The sequence below is a fragment of the Homo sapiens genome, chromosome 6, assembly GCF_000001405.40.
Source record: "Homo sapiens chromosome 6, GRCh38.p14 Primary Assembly".
In the NCBI taxonomy this organism is placed as follows: domain Eukaryota; kingdom Metazoa; phylum Chordata; class Mammalia; order Primates; family Hominidae; genus Homo; species Homo sapiens.
In genome coordinates, this window is record NC_000006.12 from 116,156,010 (window position 1) to 116,183,492 (window position 27,483).

At 35.6% G+C, this 27,483-nt stretch overlaps 2 protein-coding genes across 5 annotated transcripts in view; one reads left to right on the forward strand and one right to left on the reverse strand.

Annotated features, from left to right (window-relative positions):
- NT5DC1 (5'-nucleotidase domain containing 1) overlaps positions 1-27,483 on the forward strand; it is a 148,645-nt gene that overhangs the window by 55,157 nt on the left and 66,005 nt on the right. The gene's annotated exons all lie outside the window — the stretch shown is intronic.
- The window catches only part of COL10A1 (collagen type X alpha 1 chain), a 98,236-nt gene that overhangs the window by 37,101 nt on the left and 33,652 nt on the right, over positions 1-27,483 (reverse strand). The window contains exon 1 of one of the 3 annotated variants that reach the window (NM_001424106.1): positions 2,605-2,763. The exons of the other annotated variants lie outside the window; for them this stretch is intronic. The gene's annotated coding sequence lies outside the window, so the exon portion shown is untranslated. Of the gene's footprint in view, positions 1-2,604; positions 2,764-27,483 lie in introns of those variants that run through there. 3 annotated transcript variants of the gene reach the window in all.

Consider the following 27,483-nt stretch of genomic DNA (forward strand, 5'->3'; position numbering starts at 1 on the left):
GAGTAGCTTTTATCTCCTGTAATAAAACATTATGATAGTCACAAATATACTTTCCTAATCATGCCATCACTTAAAAATCTTGAAGTTATGTAAAGGTCAATAATACATATTTTCTTTGAAAGCATATCTTCAGTCTCCTGTTCCCCATCATCTTTTATTTTGGGGAGGAATAAGTAAAATATTTGCCATTTGTCCCTGTTTTCTTGTGTTTGCTCTTCACTTTCTGTAGTTTTTTCCTCCTCTGCAACCCATTTCTCTAATTTTCCGGCAAAACTAATGAACTTTGTTTTTGGAGTTAAAAAAAATTTTTTTTAGGTTGTAGATCTCATTCAACTAGTTGTGTTTCGTTTATTAGTTAGTTTGCTGGTTTAATACTATGTAGGCACTTTGAGGTTGAAAAAAATGTGTTCCATTATCTTTGCTTTCACTTAGCTTATTATAGTCTGCCTCATAAGGGATTACTATGCTGTGTATAGTGCAAAGTAAAAAGGAATGCGTCTTAAGGAAGACATGGGCAAAGTAAGGGAAGAGGAGACCGATTACATGTGCTAATTGCAGATATATGAAAGAAAGCATAAGGAAGTCTTCGTGGAGGCAATGGTAATTTAGAGTTTCCTTGAAAGATGACTTTGGTCATGTAGAGATAGGGGAGAGAAGTCAGATGGAATGACACTGCAGATATTCTTATTGTACTTTCATAATATTTGCTTTTAAATTTCAGCATATCTTGAATAAGAAGTACACTTAAGAGTAATATCCAAGATATCTATGGATATGAAGAAAGTAGAGATCAGATAGCAATAATTTTGTGCTTCACGTCCTCTCCCCAGGCCACCCCACGGCCCCATTACATCACAACTCTTGCCACAACCCCTTTTGTTCTCCTCAGGAGCCCAGCTTGTGTAAGTAGCCCCTGGTGCATTGACCAGCCACTCACTCCCTGGCAAGAAGGCCTGCTGCATTTTCCTCATCATAGCTTGTTTATTTGGATATTTTTTTCTCTTTGCCTAAGTGCGTTCACTTCATAGCACTGCCTCCCTTCCACCAAATAGACATGGAGGGGAGGAGACCAGGTCTTGGGCTGCAATTACATGGATTATTTGGGTATGAGAATATGGAAAACAAAGCAAAACTAACCTTTGGTAATATGTGTATCCCAGATATTTGCCCCTTTTCCCTCTACCTCATGTTTTCATTATTAATTTGGTTTAAAAATGAGGATTCCCCCCCATATCTCTTGAGTTAATTACAGTGCTCTGAGTTTCTGTAAAAATGTCAGATTGTGTGGCACCAGTCAGTTGTCAACGTAACTTGGTTAGTGGAACCCTAGACAAGTAACTGTATGGACTTCCACCTTATTACAGTCTTTGGCCACTGCTATCTTGGAAGCTCAGGCAGTGGGAAAAGAGCTATGGGGACAGGTTCAAAGAGTTGAAACTATGTTGAAAAAGCTGCCTGCCAAAAATCAGTGAAGTCTTAAAACTAAATAGTTTTTTAAATTAGAAAAATATTAACATGAATTGTTGAAGAGATTTGAGTCCAATGGGGGATCAAGTGTATGTGAAATTGCATTTTTTAAAGTTGTTCTTTTCCAGTAGACCATAACAAAAAATTACATGAAACCACAAGAGAGGGTGTCTCCCTGCCTTCCCCAAATTTGGGCTCATTTTTTAACAAAACAGAATAAAAACAGTTGAACTAAATTAGAATGTTGAAATGGTGAGAGTGGGTGGAAAGATGAAAGGCACTTCACTTCAAACAGACTCTAACGGGGAAATCAAAAACTGATAATAAGACCACCCAGCTGACCTGACTCACCTATTCAGGATCCTTCTGAAAGCCTCTCATCCCTTGTATTGTACGTCTTTTAGGCTAGTAATAATATCATTGAAGTACAGAAATAAAATGTCTCAAACGTGTTACAGGAACATCCAGAAAAATGAACAGCATATTTTCCAATTAAATCTTTCAGTACTTCCCTTTCCAGTTTTTTCCTCTGATCATTTGACATTTCCACTTCTTAAAAAGAAAAAGCATCACATATTGGCAGCTTCAGCTCTCAAAAAGTCAATTTCTCTGAACTACAAGAACTTTCTAGTTTCAATAGCTATTAATATAATGAGTTCAAATTACTACAGTTTTTATTACAAATAAATCTACATTGACAATACTGGTTATCTGTCATTGTTGGGAGATGTTTAGTATTACAAGTGAGTGTAGATCTGGGAGTAGTTTAGTGTGCTACCTCGATGAAGATACATGGCATTTCAAACAATAGCTTTCTTGTTAGTCCTGTGCATCTACATGGATGCTTTCCTCCTTCTGTTTAAATCTCCTACTCAAGCTTCTCTTCAAATCCAGAAAAAAAAAAGTATTGAGTTTATAAATGATTTACTTTTTATTTAACCTTTGCTTAGTGAAGACAAGAAGATAAAAACTTAGCAATCTTATGAGACACAGAAGGAAGTATCATTTTCTTTAAATACATTTTATCTCTTCAGAGAAATTATTTAAATAGTCACAGCCAGTATTTTTGCCCTGTTTTTCATCTAGTCACATTATTGGTTACATAAACCTATTGTCACACGTTTGAATTTCTCCTACCTGTATTTGCTGAGAGATTCCCTATATGCTTGTTGTTGGCTGCTCTTTAAAAGTCACTACTTTGTCATCCTGGTGTGTTCTTCTGTCAGAACTTCATGGATGCTGTCAGTGGTGATCCCAGGAGGGGTAAAAACAGTCCACTACTTCCCGAGCTTTTTGGGGGTTGCTTTTGAACTTTATACTTTTATACAAAGCTCTGCTGAATCATATGCTGGCTACCGAATGATGGTTTGCCTTCTGATTCATTTCCAGGAGAGAATATCTGTTGTTTTCCAGCAGTCAGTGACTTTTTTGAGACGCAGATGGGGATTGGGGAATTTCATTTATTTGATCCCATGTGTAAATGCAAGAATGGAATGACACCTTGGCATGAATGCTTGCATTAGAATAGCTCAAATACAAGTTCTTCAGTAGTTTTAATTAATAAATCTAAATGATATGTACATTTTATTAGGGAAATTACTTCCTGTCTACTTACTAACTAGCAATGTTATGGAATTCCACAGAAGGATATCTTCTTATGCCATTGCTCTGGGATCAATGTTTTGTTTTTGGTTTTGGTTTTTTTAAATATACAATTATGTGACTTTTTTTGGTAGTTTTATGGATTTTTATTCTGCATTACTCCTTTTAAAAATTGATTTCACCGTATGAGGTTTATTCTTATCAAAAACCAGAGAAACATAACTTTCTTTTTCCATAAAGAGAAAAAAGACACTTTCAAGTCATTATTTCTGTTTTTTAATTCACATGCTTTATCCTAATTATTTGAGAATTTACACATGTGATTATTCATTTTCTACCCATTCCTTTGTTCTTTATTGCCTCTGAGTTAAAGTATACCATGCATTATAGAATGTCTTAAATGTTGCAGACTTTTTTCACCATTATATCTGTCGGGTATTCTGGATGTCATGTGAATAATTTGCAAACTTGCTGAATCTGTATGATGTAGCTATAGCCTGTAATTTTCTTTATGCTCCCTGCAGCACACACAACACTGCTGTCATCTTTTTCCCCTTTTCTGTTAAATTCAAGGGATATATGTGCAGGTTTGTTAACGTGGGTATATTGCATAATTGTGAGTTTTGGGTTTCTAGTGAACCCATTACCCAAATAGTGAACACTGTACCAAGTAAGTAACTTTTCAACATGTGCTTTCCCCCAGCCCCCACCTTTTGGAGTCCCCAATATCTATTATTTCCATCTTTATGTCCATGTGTACTTCACTTATATGTGAGAACATGCGATATTTGTTTTTTTGTTTCTGAGTTGTTTCACTTAAGATCATGGCCTCCAGCTCTATCCATGTTGTTGCAAAGGACACAATTTCATTACTTTTTATGGCCGTGTAGTATTCCACAGTGTATACATACCACATTTTTTTTATTCCAGTCAACTTTTGATGGACACTTAGGTCAATTCCATGACTTTGCTATTGTGAATAGTGCTCAATAAACATATAAGTACAGGTATCTTTTTGATAAAATGATTTATTTTCCTTTATGTATATACATAGTGGTGGGGTTGCTGGATCAAAGGGTAGTTCTACTTTTAGTTATTTGAGAAATGCCCATAATGTTTTCCAAAAGTGTTTAACTAATTTACATTTCCACCAACAGTGTATATACATTTCCTTTTCTCCACATCCTCTCCAACATCTGTTATCTATTGGCTTTTTTCATAATAGCTATTCTGACTGGTATGAGATGGCATCTCACTGTGGTTTTAATTTGCATTTCTCTGATGATTAGTGATGTTGAGCATTTTCCATATGTTTGTTGGTCACTTGTATGTCTTATTTTGAGAAGTGTCTGTTCATATCCGTTTGTCTACTTTTTAATGGAATTTTTGTGGTTTTTTTTCTTTTTGATTTGTTTAACTTCTTTACAGATTCTGGATATTAGTCCTTCTGTCAGATGCATAGTTTGCAAATATTTTCTCTCATTCTGTATATTGTCTATTTGCTGTGTTATTTCTTGTCCTGTGCAGAAAAACTCTTTAGTTTAATTAAGTCCCATTTGTCTACTTTTGGTTTTGTTGCATTTGTTGTTGAGGTCTTCGTCATAAATTCTTTGCCTAGGCCAGTGTCCAGAAGAGTTTCCCCTAGATTTTCTTCTAGTATAATATTTATAGTTTGAGGTCTTACATTGAAGCCTTTAATCTATCTTCAGTTAATTTTTGTATATGGTAAGAAATAGGGGTCCACCAGCCATCCCATTACTGGGTATATACCCAAAGGACTATAAATCATGCTGCTATAAAGACACATGCACACGTATGTTTATTGCGGTATTATTCACAATAGCAAAGACTTGGAACCAACCCAGATGTCCAACAATGATAGACTGGATTAAGAAAATGTGGCACATATACACCATGGAATACTATGCAGCCATAAAAAATGATGAGTTCATGTCCTTTGTAGGGACATGGATGAAATTGGAAATCATCATTCTCAGTAAACTATCGTAAGAACAAAAAACCAAACACCGCATGTTCTCACTCATAGGTGGGAATTGAACAATGAGAACACATGGACACAGGAAGGGGAACATCACAATCTGGGGACTGTTGTGGGGTGGGGGGAGGGGGGAGGGATAGCATTGGGAGATATACCTAATGCTAGATGACGAGTTAGTGGGTACAGTGCACCAGCATGGCACATGTATACATATGTAACTAACCTGCACATTGTGCACATGTACCCTAAAACTTAAAGTATAATAATAATAAAAAATAATAATAAAGATGCATTGATATAACAATGTAGATAAAAATAAAATTATATAAAGCAGATAAAAAAAAAGAAATAGGGGTCCAGTTTTATTCTTCTGTATATAGATAGCCAGCTTTCCCAGCAGTATTTATTGAGTAGGGTATCCTTTCCCCATTGTTTATTTTTGTTGACTTTGTTGAAGATCAGGTGTGTGGCTTTATTTCTGGGTTCTCTATTCTGCTCCATTGATCTATGTGTCTATTTTTGTACCAGTAGCATGCTGTTTTGGTTACATTAGACTTGTAGTGTAGTTTGAAGTCAGGTTATGTAATGCTTGCAAGTTTATTCTTTTTGCTTAGGATTGCTTTGGCTATTTAGGCTCTTATGGGTTCCATATGAATTTTATAATTGTTTTTTCTAATTCTGTGAAATATAACATTGGTAATTTGATGGGAAGTTGCATTGACTTTCTAGATTGCTTTGGGCAGTATAGTCATTTTAATGACATTGATTCTTCCTGCCCATGAGCAAGGGATGTTTTTCCATCTGTTTGTGTCATCTACAGTTTCATTGTTTTATAATTCTCCTTTGTATTTCACCATCTTAAATGTATTCCTAGATAGTTTATGTTTTTGTATGGCTATTGTAAATGGGATTTTCACCATCTTAAATGTATTCCTAGATAGTCTATGTTTTTTTATGGCTATTGTAAATGAGATTGAGTTTTTTATTTGGTTTTCTGCTTGACCATTGTTGGTGTATAGAAATGCAACTGATTATGGTGTGTTAATTTTGTATCCTGAGACTTTAGCAAAGTTATTGATTAGGTCCAGGAGTCTTTTGGAGGAATCATTTGGGTTTTTTAAATGTAAGATTATGTCCTCAGTGAATAGAGATAATTTGACTTCCACTTTTCCGATTTGGATGCCTTTAATTTCTTTCTCCTGCCTGATTGCTCTGGCTAGAACTTCCATTACTATGTTGAATAGGAGTGGTGAAAGTGCACATCCTTGTCTTGGTCCAGTTCTTAAAGGAAATGCTTTCAATTTTTCCCTGTAAGTATGATGTTGGCTGTGGCTTTGTCAAATATGGTTCTTAGTATTTTCAGTTATGTTCCTTTAATGCCTAGTTTATTTATAATTTTTATCATGAAGAGATGTTGGATTTTATTGCATGTTTTTTCTGCATATTGAGATGATCATGTGATTTTTGTTTTTAATTCTGTTTATGTGGTGAATCACATTTATTGATTTGCATATGTTGAACCATCCTTGTGTTCCCAGAATAAAACCCACTTGATCGTGATGAATTATCTTTTTGATGTGCTGTTGGATTCAGTTTGCTAGTATTTTGTTGAGGACTTTTGCATCTACGTTCATCAGGGATATTGGCCCATAGTTTTCTGTTTTTGTGTTATCCTTGCTGGATCTTGTTATTAGCATGATACTAGTTTCATAGAATGAGTTTAGGAGGAATTCCTCCTCCTCAATTTAAAAAATATGTATTTTTAGGCCGGGCACAGTGGCTCAGAGCGCCTGTAATCCCAGCACTTTGGGAGGCCAAGGCGGGCAGATCACGAGGTCAGGAGATCGAGACCATCCTAGCTAACATGGTGAAACCCCGTCTCTACTAAATATACAAAAAATTAGCCAGGCGTGGCGGCAGGCACTTATAGTCCCAGCTACTCAGGAAGCTGAGGCAGGAGAATGGCGTGAACCCGGGAGGTGGAGCTTGCAGTGAGCCGAGATCGTGCCACTGCACTCCAGCCTGGGAGACACAGCGAGACTCCGTCTCAAAAAAAAAAAAAAAATATATATATATATATATATATTAGTAATATTGATACCAGCTCTTCTTTGTATATATGGTGCAATTTGGCTGTGAATTCCCCTGGTCCTGGGTTTTTTTTTGTTGTTGTTTGTTTGTTTTGGTTGGTAGATCTTTTATTACTGATTCAATTTTATAATTTGTTGTTATTGGTCTGTTCAGGATTTTAATTTCCCCCTGGTTCAATCTGGGAGGTTGTATGTTTCTGGAAATTTATTTGTTTCCTCTAAGTTTTCTAGTTTGTATGCATAGAGATGTTCATAGTAGTTTCTGATGATGTTTCGTATTTCTGTGGTATCAATTTTAATGTTATCTTTATCATTTCTGATTGTGCTTATTTGAGTCCTCTTTTTTTCTTGTTTAATCTAGTTAGTAGTCTATCAATTTTTGTTTATCTTCTTAAACAACCAACTTTTGGCTTTGTTGATCCCTTGTGTGATATTTTAGTCTCAATTGTATTTAGTTCTGCTCTGATCTTTATTTCTTTACTTCTGCTAGTTTTGGGTTTGGTTCGTTCTTGTTTTTCTAGTTTGTTAGGTACATCATTTGGTTGCGAATTTGAGATCTATCTTTTTGATTTATGAATTTAGTACTATGAACTTTCCTCTTAACACTGCTTTTGCTGTATCCTAGATTTGATATGTTACATGTCTATATTCATTTCCAATTCTTTTTTATTTCGGCCTCAATTTTGTTAAAGTCATTCAAGAGCAAGTTGTTTGGTTTCCATTTACGTATGTGGTTTTGAGAGTTCCTTTCAGCATTCATTTCTAATTTTATTCTGCTATATTCTGAGAGGATACCTGATATTATTTTGATTTTTAAAAATCTATTGAAATGTGCTTTGTGACCAAGCATATTGTCAATTTTAAAGAAAGTTCCATGCACAGATGAGAAAAATGTATATTCTTTGGTTGTTGGGTGGAATGTTCTTTAGGTGTCTATCCATTTGGCAGAGCCCGTTTTAAGTCAAGTTTCTTTGATAGTTTTCTCCTTCAGTGATCTGTTTGGTGTTTTCTCTGGGATGTCGAAGTTTCCCACTATTATTGTATGGCTTTTTATTTTATTTTCTTAGGTGTAGTAGTACTTTTATAAATCTGGGTGCTCTGGTGTTGGGTAATGTATATATTTAGGATAGTTAAATCTTCTTATTGAGTTGAAGTCTTTATCATGTATCATACCCTTCTTTGTCTTTTTTTACTCTTGTTGGTTTAAAGTCTATTTTATCTGACATAAGAATAGCAACCCCTGGTCTTTTTTGTTCCCCATTTGCATGATATATCTTTCTCCACCCCTTTACTTTGAGCTTGTGTATGTCTTTATACATTATGTGGGTCTCTTTTAGGCAGCAGATGGTTGAATCTTGTTTTTCTTACCCAATTTGCTAATCTATCTCTTTCAAGTATTTATGTTCAAGGTTAATATGCATATGTGAGGTTTTGTTCCTTGCCTAATATTGTTAGCTAGTTGCTTTGTAGCCTCAATTATGTAATTATTTTATAGGATGTGTGAACTTTGTACTTACGTGTGCTTTTGTGGTAGCAAGTATCATCTTTCTGTTTCCTTTTAGCATTTTTGGTGTACTGGTCTAGTGGTGACAAATTTCCTTAGCATTTGTTTGTTTGGGAAATACTTTATTTCTGCTTCATTTATGAAGCTTAGTTTAAAAAGATACACGCTTTGGGAGGCCGAGGCAGGCAGATCATAAGGTCAGGAGATCGAGACCATCCTGGCTAACATGGTGAAACCCCGTCTCTACTAAAAAAATAAATAAATAAAATACAAAAAATTAGCGGACATGGTGGTGGGTGCCTGTGGTCCCAGCTACTCGGGAGGCTGGGGCAGGAGAATGGCGTGAACCTGGGAGGCGGAGCTTGCAGTGAGCTGAGATTGCACCACTGCGCTTCAGTCTAGGCGACAGAGCGAGACTCCGTCTCAGAAAAAAAAAAAAAAAAAAAATTATTGGCTGGCATTATTTTTCTTTAAGAAGTCTAAAACTAGATCCCTGTCTCTTCTGGCTTGTCAGTTTCTGCTAAGAAATCTGCTGTTAGTCTGATAGGATTTCCTTTATAGGTGATTTGATCCTTTTTTCTAGTGGCGTTTAAGATTTTTTCTTTAGCATTGACCTTGGATAGTCTGATAACTATATACCTTGGTGATGTTCACCTTATATCATATCTCACTGGTGTTCTGGATTTCTTCCACATGGATTTCTATATCTCTAACAAGATCAGGGAAATTTTCCTGAATTCTTTCTACCAATATGTTTTCCAAATTGCTTACTTTTTCTTCTTCTTTCTCAGGAATACCTATAAATTATAGATTTGGTGACTTCACATAGTCCTGTATTTTTAAAAGGATTTGTTCATTTTTTAAAATTCTCTTTTCTATTTTTGTCTGACTGGGTTAATTCGAAAAATGCCTCTCCTACATCCACAACAGTGGACTGAGGGAGCAGGAGATGACCCCCCTCTACATCTGTTACCAACCACCAGTACCACCCCATTCAGTGATCAGTTTGTACCTGCATTTCCTTTGTCCCAAGGGGGTTCTTAGTGGGCCGCACTTCCCCCTCTTCTAGGGGCAGCCTGTGCTTAGGGCTGAATGTCTGGAAATCCCACAGCTCCCCAGGGACCTGCTGGTCCCCTGTGGTTGTCAAGTCAGAGCAGGTTCTGGGCTATGTTTGCAGGGTACTGGTGATTGCAACAACTTGGGCTGAGATTCCCCATGCAGGGTAGTAGCCCACAATGAATGCACAACCAGTATGGTGTCTGTCCTCTCAGCTCAGGCTTGAGGGGAGTGAGGGGATACCTGCACAAACTAGCCACTCTGTGCTCTGTCCCCAGGAAGATCCTAAATCCGCACTGACAGCATTGCCTGGGGTCATGAAGGTAGAAAGGCTCCCTGACAATTTGGCAGTCAGCAGCTTATTGCAGGGGTGAAGGGAGAAGAGAAGCACCCCAACCTACCCTTCAGGCGGGATTCAGAGGTTCTCGGGAGTCAATCTCTGCGAGACTCTTGCTGCTTTCCTTTTCTGCAACCCCACATCAACCAGTGGGGTCTCCAACAGATCCTGGCTATCTTCCCTAAGCTTTCCATTCAGATCATGACCATTCATCTATGTCTTTGATCTTCTCTCTGAGGATAACTGACATCCAAAATCCCTAGTCAGCCATCCAGATTCCTCCTAACCAACAATTTTGATACATGGTGGTTGGATATTCAGTTCTAATTAAAAACATAAAGGAATGGATCAACCAATCTTCAACAAAGGTGCTAAGAAATCACAATGGAAGAAGGATTTTGTCTTCTGTAAATGGTATTGGGAATAGTGGATATTTGACTAGTAATTGTGATGAATTGCTAGAGGCTGAGTGTTGGGCCATCAGAGAGTGAGAAACTCCTGGCATCGATCTCCATTTACCCAGTTTCCCAGATATTTCCCTTGAGGTTTTCACTGCTGACATCCTTTTCTACATGCTGATAAAAAACACTCTTAAAACCAAGTCAGTAGTGTATTTCAAAAGTTAATTCAGTTATTTATCTAAATCCATGAGAAATTTCTACTAAAGTTTCAGAGACTTTTCATCTTTTATCTAGTAGTTACTTAAATTATGTAAGAGATAAAAATGGTTCCCTGATGTAAACTTCATCACAGTGGTTTCTATTTAAAGACGAAAGGACTGAAATTCTGAAATGTCTGGAATCTGACCTTGAAATGAGAATAATTTTTTGTTATTCAGAATTGAGCCAAAGAATTGAGCCAAGGAAGTATCTTGCCTTCCTTTCTTGTCTTTATTAATTGTTTTGGGGAGCCTACTCTGTACAGAGTTGCATATTAGGCCTACTATAGGACTTATAAAGATGGTTTATAAATTTTTGCCCCCAAGAAAATTAAATCACACTTAAAACTATTCAGAGCATGTGATATCCGTAGAATTATCTTTTATCACTGATGATTTGTATATGTTCAACCAAATGCATCAGATATAAAAGTGACATACTTTGTACTTAAAAGGTGTTTGTAAAATTAGTTCAAATAGAAGATTTTTTTTTTTTTTTTTTTTTTTTTGAGACAGAATCTTGTTCTGTCGCCAGGCTGGAGTGCAGTGGCACAATCTCAGCTCACTGCAACTTCCGCCTCCCAGGTTCCAGCGATTCTCCTGCCTCAGCCTCCCAAGTAATTGGGACTACAGGCATGCGCCACCACTGCCGGCTAATTTTTTGTATTTTTAGTAGATACAGTGTTTCACCGTGTTAGCCAGGATGGTCTCAATCTCCTGGCCTTGTGATCCACTTGCCTTGGCCTCCCAAAGTGCTAGGATTACAGGTGTGAGCCACCGTGCCCAGCCCACATAGAACTTTCTAAGGCAAAAAATATGCATCATTTTGATACCAGTTATTTGTACTGATTTCATTTGATAAAATTGCAATATTTTATAAATTGACAGGCATTTTTTACTTCCTTCTTTTCTTACCCTTCTACCCTTCGTTAGTTTTTAATTTGTTTGAATTGTTCATAGGCAATGTTTCGGCTCAGTGACTTGGGAAGTAGAGCTTTCCTAGAAAAGTCAATGCCCATGACCGTTGTTGGATAATTACGTTGCATAGCCCTCAAGTTGTTATGAATAGATATGATTGTTTAGCTCAAATGAAGTGTAACATTAGAGCTAAACAATCATATCTGTGTATTGGATGTTGATTTTCTGAAAATTTTTTTATTTCACTTTCATTCTTAGAGAATATTTTTAATGGAGGTCTAGGTTAATGGTTATTTTCTGCACTATAGTCTAGTTTCTATTGTTTATGTTGAAAATTCAGTTATCAGTATAATTGTTCTTTAAAGGATAATCTGTTTTGCTGAGATTACTAATTTCTCTTTGTCTTTGGTTTTTCATCTTCGATTTATGATGTACCTGGTGTCTTTTTTTTTTTTTTTTTTTAAATTCTCCTTGGAGGGCTTCTCAGATATTCACTTAACACCATTGGTTTGTTTTGGAAAATTCTGAGCCATTATCTCTAAAAATATTGTTCTGCTCCTTTTCTCTTTTCTCTCTTTCTGGGATTTCAGTTATTCATATTTTAGAAGATATTTTTACTATCATTTATGATCTTTCACCTTCTCTCTTTTCTTGTCTGCCTTTTGTTCTGTTTTCTTTTAATCTCATTTCTAACCATTTTTCTAATTCTCTCTTCAGTTGCGTCTAATCTGCTTATAAACCTATCCATTGAGCTTTTAATTTTGATTACTGTATTTTTCAGTTCTAGAATTCCATTTAGTTCTTTTTCTATTTTTCAATTCTCTGACAAAATCTTGATTTTATTTTAGAGCTTCCTGAATTTATTATTTATAGTTTTCAAGTCTGTCTTTATACCATAGGAGCTTCTGTGGATCTGGTTCAGTCTGTCTTCATGCCATAGGAGCTGCTGTGGATCTGGTTCTGTCGTGTATTTTCCCCCTTTTTTTGATTGTTTGTTTTGTTTTTATATTATATTGTCTCCTTGAGTATCTGATAATTTTTTATTGATACTAGCTATTGTTTTTTTTAATTTTATAGAAAAATGTTGAGGTCTGGATTACTTTCTACAGAGAGTACTTTTCTACAGAGAAAAATGTTGAGGTCTAGGATAACTTTCTACAGGGAGAACTTATGTTTGCTTCTGGCAGGCAGCTAGGGCTCTAGCACTCCTGGATCACCTGTCATCAATTTTTAGAGATTGAGGTGATGTGAAGTTGTGCTTCAGGCCATTGAGAGCTGTATTATATCTGGTTCGTACTTCTTTCTGTAGTATAGCCTTTTGGGTCAACCTGGAGAGCTCATTAACTTCTAATAAACCCTGGAGAGTTTATTAGCCTCTACCTAACCTTGGCAGGCACTGGCCTCCATTTTTTGTCCTCCAAGCCTCTTGAAGATTGCGACTTCTTAGGCTCTCCTTTACTTTTCTTGAAGTTGGTGTTACTGCTAATTCCAGGCAGAAGCCCCAGATTCCAAGCTCAGCTTTCTGGGTTTCTCTTTTCCTCAGCTTCTCAACTTGACCTCTTAAATCTTCATTGACATTTTGGTTCTTCAGTGCTGTTAAGCAGGTATTTTTTAAAGTTTGTTTAACTTTTCTAGTTATCCTCAGTTAGACAATTTGTTCAAATGGCATAGTTCTCCACTGTCAGAAGCAAGAGACCAATTTCCACAACATTTAAAAAATGAAAACATGTTATAGTTTCCAGTTTATGACTGTTACAATATTTTGTGTCTATGCTTACTATATTGCCACTTCTGTAAGTTCAGTAAGCATAGTGATTAGCCAGAATATCATGATAGGTGCCGTAAGTTCTGTATGAAAGACTATATGGTAGGAAAATATATATCTTAACAAGCCTTTTGAGGATTTTAGCTATTCATTTTGCATACTGATCAACTATATGCAGCATTGCATGAGCTCTTTAGGTATGGGGTAGCCTGTAGTACCTGCTATCTGCTAAGCTTTATTTTTTATTGAGAAATTTTAACAAATGGATAAAACATGAGGAATGAAGAGTTCTATTTTGGACCTCTTGGGTTTGAGATACCCATGTGATGTCCTAGAGGAGATGTGTGGACAATTGGACAGACATTTGGAGTTCAGAGGATTATCAATAAAAACCTATTGATTGAAAGTGTGTATAGATGATATTTATGAAAGGAAGAAAAACTCAGATTGAGCAAGTGATAATCCAGCATTTATAGTTCTTAGGGCAGAAGAGGAGTTGAGAAGAAAGGTAGATAAGGAAGAAAGGAAAACAACAGAAATAGGGGAGAGGGGTTTCCTAGAACTAACAAAGAGAATTAGTCACCTGTTGAGCCATTGGGTAATAGAAAGACAGTTAATTGGCCATGGGATTAGCAATATGGAGCCATAAGCGACATTGTCCATAGCTAATCCCTCTTTTCTTCAGTAGGAAGACAAGTTTAGAAGGATAAGGGGAAATTAGGAAGTGGATATGGCCAGTGTCTTTATATATAAACATTCTGTCGGTTTTGCTGTGAAGTGGAGAGACAAAAGGAGTCATAGCTAGGGGATGATATGGAATGAAAGGAGATTATCTTGTGTCCCCACCAGTGATTGGGGGGTGTGACCTGATTAAGAAGATAATTGTGGTGTATATATGTACTTTTTTTTTAATTCAAAAGAAAGGGTTCATAGAGTACAGACTTAAGTTAAACTGAATTCGAAGTCTATTCTGCCACGTAGTTGGTGTGCTTGTAGGCAGATTATCTAGCCACCATTTATTTTTTCCAACAGGGAAAGTACCAGGTTCATAGCCACCATTTTCTCATAGAAATGGTTCCTGTTTAAGGGCTTTTGTGGATATATAACTAAATCAGAAGTGTACGTAAAGTACCTGACTCATAATAAGTAATCAGTGCACCTTAGCTGTTGGGTTTGTTTGTTTTAGTCACTTTTAAATTCTAAATAGGGTATATGTTCAGAAACTATTAAGAACTGTTTGTGGATAAAGCCATGTTTCTTAGCATAGCATACATAGCCCTGGCTGTTGCTGTACCTCCCTACCCCAAAATTCAGCCTTAGCAAACTGCTTGCTTGCTGGTACTAGGAAATACCTCTGAAATCAACTGAAAATACTGCATAGTACCTTCAGTTGATCACCTTAGAAGATCTTGCAGTTCTCACTCCCACCTGCCGTGTAGCCTATCCTCATTATCTGTCAGGGCCAACTTATCTTTCAAACTGCAGCTTAAGGTCACCTCCTCCCTTAAGGCTTTTCCTGACATCTAGCCTGTCAAACCTCATTCTGTATTTGACCTGCCCATTCCTCCTCTGTGGTCTCATTTTATTTAGCCTGTTACCACCCTACCACGCCTCTTCATTGGACTTAATGATTCACACATCTCTCTGTTTTTACTGGCCTGTAATATCCTTAGAAGTCATCTTTTTTTTTTAAATCCCCAACATAGCACTTGATCCATAGTAGGTGTTCCATAAGTGATTGTTGAATAAATGAATATATGTAAGGTTAAATGACCCACTTATATTATTGTCACCACTACCTTTTACATATTTTAATGTTTTAATCACTTAACTTATTTTTTAATTGCCAAGATTATTATTTTACGAAGAATACACATTATAAAATCAAATAAATATGTGGTTTTTGCTTTGACTAGAAAAGCATTATTTTGTGGATTTTGAGACCAGGAATTATAAATAGACACTGTTCTAAAAGGCCATTTGTAATCTATTTGTCAGAAATTTGGAATATACTTTATAAAAAAAGCCAGGCTGTGCAAGTGTTAGTGGTGGTAAAGATGATTATTATCATCGTAATAATAATCAGATTTCAGACTGGTACTTACAAAAGACTTGTTTAAACCATATGTCATATAACTTGAGAGCCTACCTTTTTGGGGGGACTAAGAATAGGGCAATAATGTGGTTTAGGTAGGAAAAGCAGGAAGACAGTGTATTCTATATTTGACTTGGCTGAATTCTCTCTTTGGTATCCCCTATACTTTTCTCTGCTGTTTCTATTCTACTTTTGAATTTAAAGATTATTCCAGAATACTGAGTTTTTACGGTTTTCTCCCATGGTAAGAACAGTGGAGCTGTGTTGAGCAATTGGGGTACAGAGAGAAGCCTTGGTACAACCATTTGCATAAATGTGCAATTTGTAAATTTAGTGTTTTGATATTAAAGAGGTACTTAAACAGTTGTCTTTAAATTTGTTTTCTATATACAGGGAAGTTTAAGTCCGAGAGTGAGAGAGTTTTCTGACCTGCTTTGCTTAGTGGATAGGATTTTATTGATGGATAGCCAGCTGTATGACAGCCGCCACATCTTAAAAGAGAAATTATGTTGTAGAAAGATTAAGAGGAAGGTAGAGAAAACACTCTCACTTCCATCCACACATCTATGGTTTCAGTGTTTTTTCCATCTGTAAGTCAAGATGACTGAAGTAGTTGAGCATTTCCTAACCTGTTGTAAATTTGTAAACCCTTTCCTAAGTGATACAATCTCATGATTTCCTCATAGAAAGATTGAAAATTATTTTTTTCACTTTTACATAGTATATAATAAGTGGTTTTAAGTTTAAGGTTATATTAGATAAGTATATTATTAAAGATTGGATTGTCAAGTTCATTTTAGTATAACCCCTTAGTAACTTTTTTTTTTTTTTTTTTTTTTGAGATAGAGTCTCGCTCTGTTGCCCAGGCTGGAGTGCAGTGCCACAATCTTGGCTCGCTGCAACCTCTACCTCCCGGGTTCAGGCAATTCTCCTGCCTCAGCTTGCTGAGTAGGTAGGACTACAGGCGCACGCCACCACGCCCAGCCAATTTTTCTATTTTGAGTAGAGACAGGGTTTCACCATGTTGGCCAGGATGGTCTCGATCTCCTGACCCCCTGATCCACCCACTTCAGCCTCCCAAAGTGCTGGGATTACAGGTGTGAGCCACCGCGCCAGGCCACACCTTAGTAACATATATACTTTGTAAGGAAATTGTTTATGTTTTCTCTGTATAGCAGATAACATATATTATTTAATTACATAAGAAAAGATTATTTCCTGAGAAATTTTAAAGTATTTATTATATTTCTTTATGTACTCAGGCATCAAAAATAGTCAAAACTCTTTTCACATCTGGATGTTTGGAATTCTTGAAATTTGACCTTTAGGAAAATCTACTCTCCTTGTTTTTATTTGGTTTCCAAATGATGAGGTAAGATAGGATGTTTCAGGATTCTTTTTGCAGGCACTTTTCTACAGTTTCACATTGCAGGTGTGGATAACCAATTAGGATAAAATTATATTTATATCTTGAGATATCTTAATTTTTTTACATAAGAAATTTGATCAGAGGAATACAATTCACAGATATTATTTTGGAGAGAACCTATGGAATTGTCATTTTTATGTTCTTCTATAACTTTTAAAGTTCAAAATTTGTGGTGATCCATTATGGAGATAAATTAAACACAATATACTAAAAATGATAGCTAAAAACATTGTATGTGTCTAAACCACAGCCCCTGGCAGTGTTCATCTAAAGTGTAAACTATAACTGTGTCAGTGGCTACTCCTTACCACTCAACTTGAAATACACATGGAGCTGCTCCACGTTTTATTTTTAAGAGTTGCAAAATTTAAAACTTAGAAAAATATGATTAAAAAATAAATTAGAACATTTACTCTTTAACAATCTGAAGTTGAAATACCTTCTCCCATCTGGGGTGGGAAAACACTGACGGTTCCTTCCAGCTGTGTGATTTTTGGACAGCAGAACAGAATCCTCCAATGGTGTAATGAGAGAGGTAGGCAGCCTGTCAGTCCCTTTAGAGCAGAGAGCTTCATTCACTTCATGTAGAGGGTTCCCGCTTTGAGCAACAGCAACACTAAAGCTGAGCGAGGGCGAGTGTGCTCCTCAGGGTATGAGGAGCTGTGGACTGTGGTAAAAATCAGACCCAGCTCAGAAAATTTCCTTGGGCTCCTCTTTTCCTGCACATATTATTTTTGTAATTTATTTATTTATTTTTTTGGTTGTCTTATACACTTTGTTTTGGAATAATCCCTAAATGTATAGAAAAATGATAAAGACAATATAGAGTGATCCTGAATATCACCCTAATGTTCACATCTTACATTATTATGGTACCTTTGTCACATCTAAGAAACCAACATTGGCACATTCCTATTAACTAACCACAAGACTTCATTTAGCTTCTACCAGTTTTTATACTAATGTCCTTTTCCTGTCCCATAATCCCATTCAGGATACCACATTGCATTTAATCATCACATTCAATTAGTCTTTTCTGGTCTGTGACAATTTCTCACTTGGAGTGCTAGCCACGTATTTTATAAAATGCCCCTCCATTTGGCTTTTGTCTGATGGTTTTCCATGACTAGACTGCAGTTGTGGTTCACTTCACAGAAGTGAAGAACTAGTTTTATCACATCATATGAGGGGTACATGCTGTCAACATGACATCACTGCTAATATTAACCTTGATTACCTGACCAACATAGCATTTGCCATGTTTCTCTACTGTAAAGTTACTCTTATTCCCCTTTGCATACTCCGTTTTTTGAAAGCAAGTCACTAAGTCCAGCCCACTCTCAAGAGTGACGGGTAGGTGTTAAATTCCCCTGCCTGAAGTAGAAAAAAATATACTTATTTGGAAATCTTCCGTAAGAAATATCATAGACATACCATTTTGACCTTACTAATAGGTCTGTTCAGCAGTGTTAATTCTTCCCCTCACTCCTGAAGGAAAAGACGATATGCATGATTAATGAAATAACCAACTTAAATTATGCTCATAACTAGATTAAATGTATTTTTCACCACTGAATATAAAATTTAGAGTGCCAATGTTAAGTGAATAAAATATTTCCTATTCGTGTTTTGTTTCATGATAAAAGTAATGAAAAAGAAAAACTTGTGTGAAGATTAGGTAGAATAGAGAATTCAGGCATTTTCCCTTTACTATTTTCAATAAGATTTTTTAAAGACATCTTCGATTTTTATACAGGTACTTGTTTTCTCTCCTTTCTAGCTCTCATAACTTTTCTGAATTTGTATTTTGCTTTCATCATACTCCATTTTGAAGGACTCAGTCTACAATTCTACCACTTGCTTTGCAATCCACTGGTACCATAAAGCATGGCTAATTCAACCTAATGGGATTATTAATAGTTCCCTACAAACACTACATAAGCCATTTTAGGATAGCAAGGGTTTCTTGTAGTATTAAAGATACATCTAAAAAGTCATGTTTTATAATAAACCATTTTGTCTCCTTTTCTTAAGGATTAGGTTATTGAATGACCATAATAATCATTAGTAAGGGATATAGAATATTTCCATGAACAGGATTATCTACTCATTGTTTTAAAAATTAAGGAATTAGGCTTATTAACTTCAGAAATTTAATTTTCTTGAGATATAATTTATATACAATAAAATATGTATATTTTGTATAGAGTTTGATGCATTCTGACTCATATATACATTTGTATAATTGCCATTCCAATCAGGATACAGAGCATTTCCAGGAAGTTTCTTTGGAGGCAGTCCTCCCCATCTCTACCTCCCACCCAAGAAAACTAATGATCTGATTTCTGACACTATAGGTTAGTTTTAGAAAGGCAGTTATTTTATATTACTCACATTTTTTCTCTCTAGCTACCTTCATGATTTCCCTTTTATATTTCCTTTTTAATAGTTTGACTATGATGTGGTAGATTTTGAAGTAGGCGGAGTATTTATCTCACTGAACTTATTGGATCTGTGTTTGATATCCTTCATTATTTTTTGAAAAATTATTGGTCATTATCTCTTCAAATATTTCTTCTGCTCCATTGTCTCTCCTCTTTCTCTGGGACCCCAATTATGAGTATGTTGGACCATTTGATAATGTCTTACAGTTTGTGGATGCCCTGTTCCTTCTCCCCCGACACAGTTTTTTTCTCTTTGTGTTTCAGTTTAGGTAAATTCTATTGACTACTGTTCAAGTTCAGTGATATTTCCTTAGTTATGTCAGAAGCTGATGAACACACCAAAGTAATCTTCCTCATCTCAGATACTGTCTTTTAAAACTTTTAATATTTCCATAGTTTTAATTGATCTACTGAAATATCCTATCTACCCATTAATGTTGTTTATCCTTTTCACTAGATCCTTTAACAGTTCAATCTTAGTCATTTTTAAGTCCCTGTCTGATAATTCCAATGTATGAATCATCTGTGAGTCTGTGTCTATTGATTAACTTGTCTTTTAGCGCTGGGTTGTTTGGGGGCTTCTTGTTTGTTTGTTTGTTTTGTATATGAGATTTATAATTTTTGATTGAATGCTGGACATTGTGTGAACATTAGGCACTGAGGCAAACAGTATTTACACCTCAAAATGGACTTGCCTCTTCTACTACGCTGTAATTGTGTGAGGTTGAATCAGTCTAGTCAGCAGCTTAGCTGGATTTGGGTTTTGCTACCTATGGTAGACCATAGGCTTCAAATTCTTCTAGTGCTAGAGTGTTGTTGCCTAGTGCTTAGGGATGCTGTGCTGGCTAAGTTTTCCTCAGGATTACTGCTCCAGCTAATGTTTCAGCTGTCCCTGCATGCATGTACCACAGAGAGGGTATAGCACCACACTCTTGCTCTTCCCCTAGCAGAAGACTGCTGTTGCTTAGCATTATGTGGTTTGCTTCTGTTGGGCCTGGAGGCAGGGTATAGTTCTCTGTTCTGGCTCAGTCTCAGCCTTAGAGAAGCCATGTACACCAGGGTCTTGGGGATATTTTCTGCTTTACTGGTTCTCCTCCCTGTGACAGTTGAATACTGCCTTTACTTGCAGCTGACATTAGCAGAAGTTTTCTGCCCCTCTTAGAGCAGTAGAAATTCTCCAAAAAATAATGAAAGATATCAAACACAGTACCATCTACTTGGTATTGGTATAGGATCTTAGGCCCAAAGCAGTCTTGTGCCCATAATAGAGTTTTTCTTCCACCTTTTTCCCAACCACATATTGTCCTTTATGGTGCCTGTTGGACTTGCTGCCCTTCCTCCAGCTGCTTAAGCCTTTTGTTTCATTAGCATGAAGAGTCTGAGGAAGCAGGTAGCACCGAAGCACTGTGGGCTAGGAGGATTTGTTGTTCCCCCTAGAGGGACAGATACATCCCAAGTCTATTTTCCTCTTGCCTGGCTGACTGTCCTGTGATCTTCTCACTTCTCCAAGTGCAGCATCTGGACCAAGATATGAAAGGGGCCCTTTTTTTGCCCCGTGTAATTTTAGAAAGTTTATAAGAACTTTAGATATAATTTTAATACAGTTCTTTATCTTACTGAATTGAAGACTAGGGCACATATATGCTACAAAATGTCCAGAGAACTACAACTAAAATCTGAAGTTTTGATTTATAGTATAGTTTCTGTTATAATATGTGGACCGGTTTCAGTATAAATACTAGTGTCTCATAGAGTGAATTGATGCATACGACTATAAAAATTAAGTCTTTTGTTACTTGAGCTTTTCGTTTCCAACAAATTCTCAATACAAATAATTAAGTTTAGTCTCATAGATTATGTTTCTTTGCTATTTCCCTTGACTGTTTATAACATTCATGACATACTTTTCAATTAACTGTGTTTTTATTCATGGGCGTTATAGACTTTAAAGAAAAAACTTGATAGAATATATCCAAAGACAGGCACCACTATAAAATCTAGACTTTATTATTTTTGTGATTGAAACTCACCACTCTAAATATTAGAAATGGCTTCCATCTGTTTCATTGCAAAATGGGTAAAAGTATATTCATGAGCTTTCTTCTCTTTAATGATATAAATTTTCTACTTAAATGTAAGCCACTAAGTACTAAATGTAAAATATAGTTTAAGTAAATAAAATTACATGATAAAATGTATTTAGAAGTAAAATATTAACAGTTGCATTCAAGCCCTGTGTTTTCCAGTGCTCTTATACTTTTTACTTAAAGGAATTTATCTAAAAATTCGTGGATATAAGAGATAATGTATCAAAATACCATCAGCTCTCTTAAAGTTTATTACTAAATAATCTAAGTAATTAAATAATAATATTCTAAAATGTTTTCTGACATTCTAAATTATAACCACGTGAAAGGGCATTAAAGCATCCCATTTGTTTATTTTCTGCTGATAAGCTTTAGGTAACAGCTCTGAAATGCCTACTGGAAGGGCAGGGAGGTTGGAAAGGAAATGGACTTTTTGCTGTACTTTTGCTAGAATACATTTAACTCCTTAGAGATTGGAGATTAGTTTCATAGTATAAAAATACCACTACCTTTCACTGCAGCATCAAGGAGTTTACTTTGTGGAATTGTTTTATCCTGTATGTCTAGCTTTCATAACTTTACAAAGAGGAAAGTGTGTGTGTGTGTGTGTGTGTGTGTGTGTGTGTGTGCGCGCGCGCGCGCGTGCGTGCGTGTGTGTGTGTGTGTGTGTGTGTTTACTAGTGGGACTGGGTCTAAATTTATGTGATCTAAGTGAAAGTTAATTTGCTTGAAACCCTTCTTGTTTGCTTGAAACCCACAAGCTGAGGATCATACCTAGGGGACCTCTCTCCCATCCAAGTACTAACCAGGCCCGACCCTGCTTCGCTTCTGAGATCAGGTGACATTGGGCGCATTCAGGGTGGTATGGCCATAAGCCCTAGGACACCTTTCTGAACTCTTTAACTTGAAGTCAGCCTTTCTTGATTCATAAAGGCGATAGAAAGAATCTGTAAACATCTCTATGTTTTATGGTCAGGTATAAGAATTCTAAATTGAGTGGTCAAAACCTGGACCAGTTTATTAAAAGAGATTACTGCAATGAAGCAGAAAACTAACCGACTTCCAGTCATTTGTTGTTAAAGAAGTCATAACTAGTGTCAGCTGGTATGTGAAAGCCAAATTACCAAGTGTTCCCACCTTTTACTCTGAAGAATGAACTTTTCAAAGTCAGTGCAAAGAACTATAGTTTTGGTAAAGGCAATTTTACTGAATAGTCCAAAATGTTATTGTACTTCCAGAAATATAGAGCAGTTTCCCTATAATAATAAAACCTCTTGATTGATGCCTCCCAAAATGTGAGCATCTCAGAAGGGGAGGGGAACTCATGGATTAATTGACAGGTGAGAACCAGAAAAAGCCCCCAACTCCCAGTAAATTTGCAATTTCAGTGTTTGCCTTATAAAAATCTTCTTGCTTTAAGCAAAATTTCTTTTACTCGATATGCATTTCCAGCCCTCTAATTTTTCTTTCCTTATGAGTCTGAAGGCACAAAGACAGTGAACAGTAGAAAGAAAAGATTATTCTATCCTCATCTTCATAGTTATACAAATGGTAATTTCTTGGCCCTAAAATAGTCAAAGTAAGTTTGTAAAATTCGATATGTTCATGCTGTTTTTTCTTCTTATTTATTTAACATAAGTAGAGATATTTAGCTTCAGGAAGTGTCATTGTAAGGGTGGGGATACCAATTTATTTGTTTCTCTTTATAGAAGAATTCTAGCTTAAAAATATTAAATAACATATAGTAGATATTCTTCCAGTGTATTTTTCACTATTAATGTGAAAATACTCCTTATCTTATTAATATTACATTAAAATGAAGAATTCTGAAAACTGCATAATGGCAGGAGGATTTACATTCTTATACTGATCAGATGTTAATACTTTCTTCAGAGAATTGGGGTTTTAGCATTCATTCCTTTTCATGCATCTGACAAAGGACTAATATCTAGAATCTACAAGGAATTCAAACAAATCAGCAGAAAAAAAACAATCCTATCAAAAAGTAGGCTAAGAACCCGAATAGACAATTCTCTAAAGAAGATATGCAAATGCCCAACAAACATATGACAAAATGCTCAACGTCACTAATGATCAGGGAAACGCAAATCAAAACCACAAAGACCTTTTTAAAAATTAACCTACTGAAATTAAATTGTTTTCATCATTCCCAGTGTTATCAAAAAGAATAACGGGTTTTGAACAAGCATTTGGCACTTTGATGACAGGAATCTAAATCAGCTTCAGTGATGAACTCAATAATTATAAGATTCTGGTTTGATTGAGACATACACCTATCTTTGATGTCCTGGTTTGGTTCAGGCATACTGAGGATAACTTAGAGTAATCTTATTTCTTTTGGAAAGGCACAAGAATATACATAATGCTCCAAAGATTCTTGATGTCATGAAAATCACTCTCATCCTAAAGGATTTGTTAGCCAGTGATCCCTCTGAAGCAAGTTCACATTTATTAGAATTTCAGAACAGTGTAGATAATGTGGATAATTTTAGTTCTAGCTGCATAAAATACCCAGAAGTTTATTATTACAATTAAATCTTGTTTTTTATTGCAAAATACCGTGGTGTTCTCTATAACTGTGTTGAATTTATAATGATCTAATTGAGAGGAATTTATCCCCAAAGGATAAGTGTTTACATTTTTTATTTTAAATTATTAAGGGCATATATTATTTTAATTACAGAGATAGTATATAAGTAAAAGATTCATTTTATTTAAATGTTTTCTTAAAAGTGTGTTGTGTCTCATTTTTCAACGTTTAGAGGATGCAAGAGAACCAACTCTGAAAATCATAAAAGGAAAGAATGAAACAATTATCTTATTTCTCTTTTACAAATTCTAACGCAAGGTAACTCATTGGTGCAGGACAGTTTCTCTTTATAGAAGAATTCCAGCTTTTAAAAAATGAAAATGGAATGATAGAATTGATATGTCACACTTTATAATCCCTAATGAAATAATGGACCTAGGTAGTGATCATTAATGACTGCTAAAACTGCTAAAACTTAAGTGAAACTTCATGAATGGAGAAGACTGATAACACCTGAACTTATTGCTTAATCTTATCACAAAGAAAGAAACATTCAGCCATTTTGTGCCTCATGATGTGATGCAATAAGAAATACATTCTCTATAAAACTGTCTTGCCAAAATATCAAACCCAGATTGTATTAAACCTCTGTAATTACCAGTTCATAGGAACTAGAGTACCAAGTTAGTTGACACTGTAGAAAGGCAATAAGCAGAATCCAGAATGAGGAAAGTGCTATGGGGGAAATGACCCAATTTCATCAGTGAATAAATGGAAAGAAAAAAGAATGAAGGAGAACTGTAGGTTAGAGGACATTTAAGTGATGTATCAACCAATTGCAATTTGTGAGTCGTGTATTTTCAGTCAACCAAACCAATTTTTAAAAAACTATTTGGGAGATGCTGGTGACATTTTCAACACTAACTGATATATGATGATAGTAAAGAATTATTGTTATATTTTTCAGGTGTCATGTAGCTTAATAAGAATTCTTATCACTTAGATATACATACTTAAAGGTATTTTGGGATGAAATCATATGGTATCTTGAATTTACTTTAAGACAACCTAACAGAGGTACACGAGATACATATATAGATGAAAAGATTAATAATTATTGAAGTCGAGTGATGAGTATAGCAGTTTGTTATACTCACCTCTCTACTGTTACATGTGTCTGAAAATTTCCATAAGAATGAAAAACTAAACTTAGGAATATCAGATAAATAAATATAGTAAACATTAGGTAAATTACTATAATAAGAATACAATGTAATATAGATACAAAAGGATCTTACAGAAATCTTACAGAAATATTAGCAAATTCAGAATATATAAAAAGTTGCAAAACTAACATTGGAATTATCAGTTTAATTTATGATATTAGCAAATAATTTATGATTATTTCAGTGGATGCAGAAAAACCCAATTAATAAAACCCAGCATCTGTTCATAATAAAAACCATAGGAAACTAGGAATAGAAAAGAACTTCTTTAATCCCATTATAGGATATCTCCAAAGCTTCACACTCTTGGCTAAAGTATTCTCTTTGACACTGAGAATAAGACAAGGAGGCTTATTGTCACCACTTTTTTTCATTACATTAAAATCAGTTGTATATCCAGATCCCAACACAATCAATTGGAAACTTACAAAATGCAAGTACCTAGGGATAAATTAACAAAACCTATTGCAAGCTTTCTGTGCAAAAAAAAAGTGCACAAGATTGAGAGAAATAACTGAAGACCTAAATAAATGGGAGCTATATTATGTTCCTGGTGGAAGACAGTATTTTAAAGGTGCCATCTCTTCAAATTAATTATATAAATTCAGTGCAATTCCAACCAAAATTTTATTTATTCAGTTTTCTATTTCAATAGGTTTTTGGGAAACAGTTGATGGTGGTTACATGAATAAGTTCTTTGGTGGTGATTTCTGAGATTTTGGTGCACCCATCACCTGAGCAGTGTACACTATACCCAGTGTATAGTCCTTTATCCCTCACCCGCTCCCACCCTTTCCTCCGCGTCCCCAAAGTCCAGTGTATTATTCTTATGCCTTTGTGTCTTCATAGCTTAGATGCCACTTATGAGTGAGAACATTGGTTTTCCATTCCTGAGTTACTTCACCTAGAACCTCCAATTTCATCCAGGTTGCTACAAATGCCATTATTTCATTTCTTTTTATGGCTGAGTAGTATTCCATGGAGAGTGTGTGTGTGTGTGTGTGTGTGTGTGTGTGTATCACATTTTCTTTTTCTTTATCCACTCTTTGATTGATGAACATTTGGGCTGGTTCCACATTTTAGCAGTTGCAAATTGTGCTGCTATAAATGTGTGTGTAAGTATCTGTTTTGTATAATGACTTCTTTTCCTCTGGGTAGATACTCAGGAGCAGGATTGCTGGATCAAATGGTAGATCTACTTTTAATTTTTTAAGGAATCTCCACACTGTTTTCCATAGTGGTTGTACTAGTTTACATACCCACCAACAGTGGAAAAGTGTTCCCTTTTCACCACATCCACGCCAACACCTATTTTTTTTTATTTTTTGATTATGGCCATTGTCGCAGGAGTAAGGTGGTATCACATTATGGTTTTGGTTTGCATTTCCCTGATCGCTAGTGATGTTGAGCATTTTGTTACATGTTTGTTGTCCATTTGTATATCTTCTTTTTAGAATTGTCTCTTCATGTCCTTAGCCCACTTTTTGATGTGATTGTTTGTTTTTTTCTTGCTGATATGTTTGAGTTCCTTGTAGAGTCTAGATATTACTCCTTTGTTGGATGTATAGATTGTAAAGATTTTTTTCCCCACTCTGTGGGTTGTCTGTTTACTCTGCTGATTGTATTTTTTGCTGTATATAATTAAGTCCCATCTATTTATCTTTGCTTTTGTTGAATTTGCTTTTGAGTTCTTGATCATGAAGTCTTTGCCTAAACCAGTGTCTAGAAGGGTTTTTCCACTGTGCTTTTCTAGAATTGTTATGGTTTTGGGTCTTAGATTTAAGTTTTTCATCCATCTTAAGTTGATTTTTATATAAGATGAGAGATGAGGATCCATTTCGTTCTTCTACATGTGGCTTGTCAGTTGTCCCTGCACCATTTGTTGAATAGGGTATCCTTTCTCCACTTTATGTTTTTGTTTGCTTTGTCGAAGATCAGTAGGCTGTAAGTATTTGGCTTTATTTCTGGGTTCTCTATTCTGTTCCATTGGTCTGTGTGCCCGTTTTTATACCATTACTGTGCTGTTTTGGTGATTATGGCCTTATAGTATAGTTCAAAGTTGGGTAATGTGATGCCTCCAGATTTGTTCTTTTTGCTTAGTCTTGCTTTGGCTATGCAGGCTCTTTTTTGGTGCCATATGAATTTTAGGACTTTTTTCTAGTTCTGTGAAGAATGGTGGTAGTATTTTGATGGGAATGGCATTGAATCTGTATATTGCTTTTGGCAGTATGGTCATTTTTTAAATATGGATATTT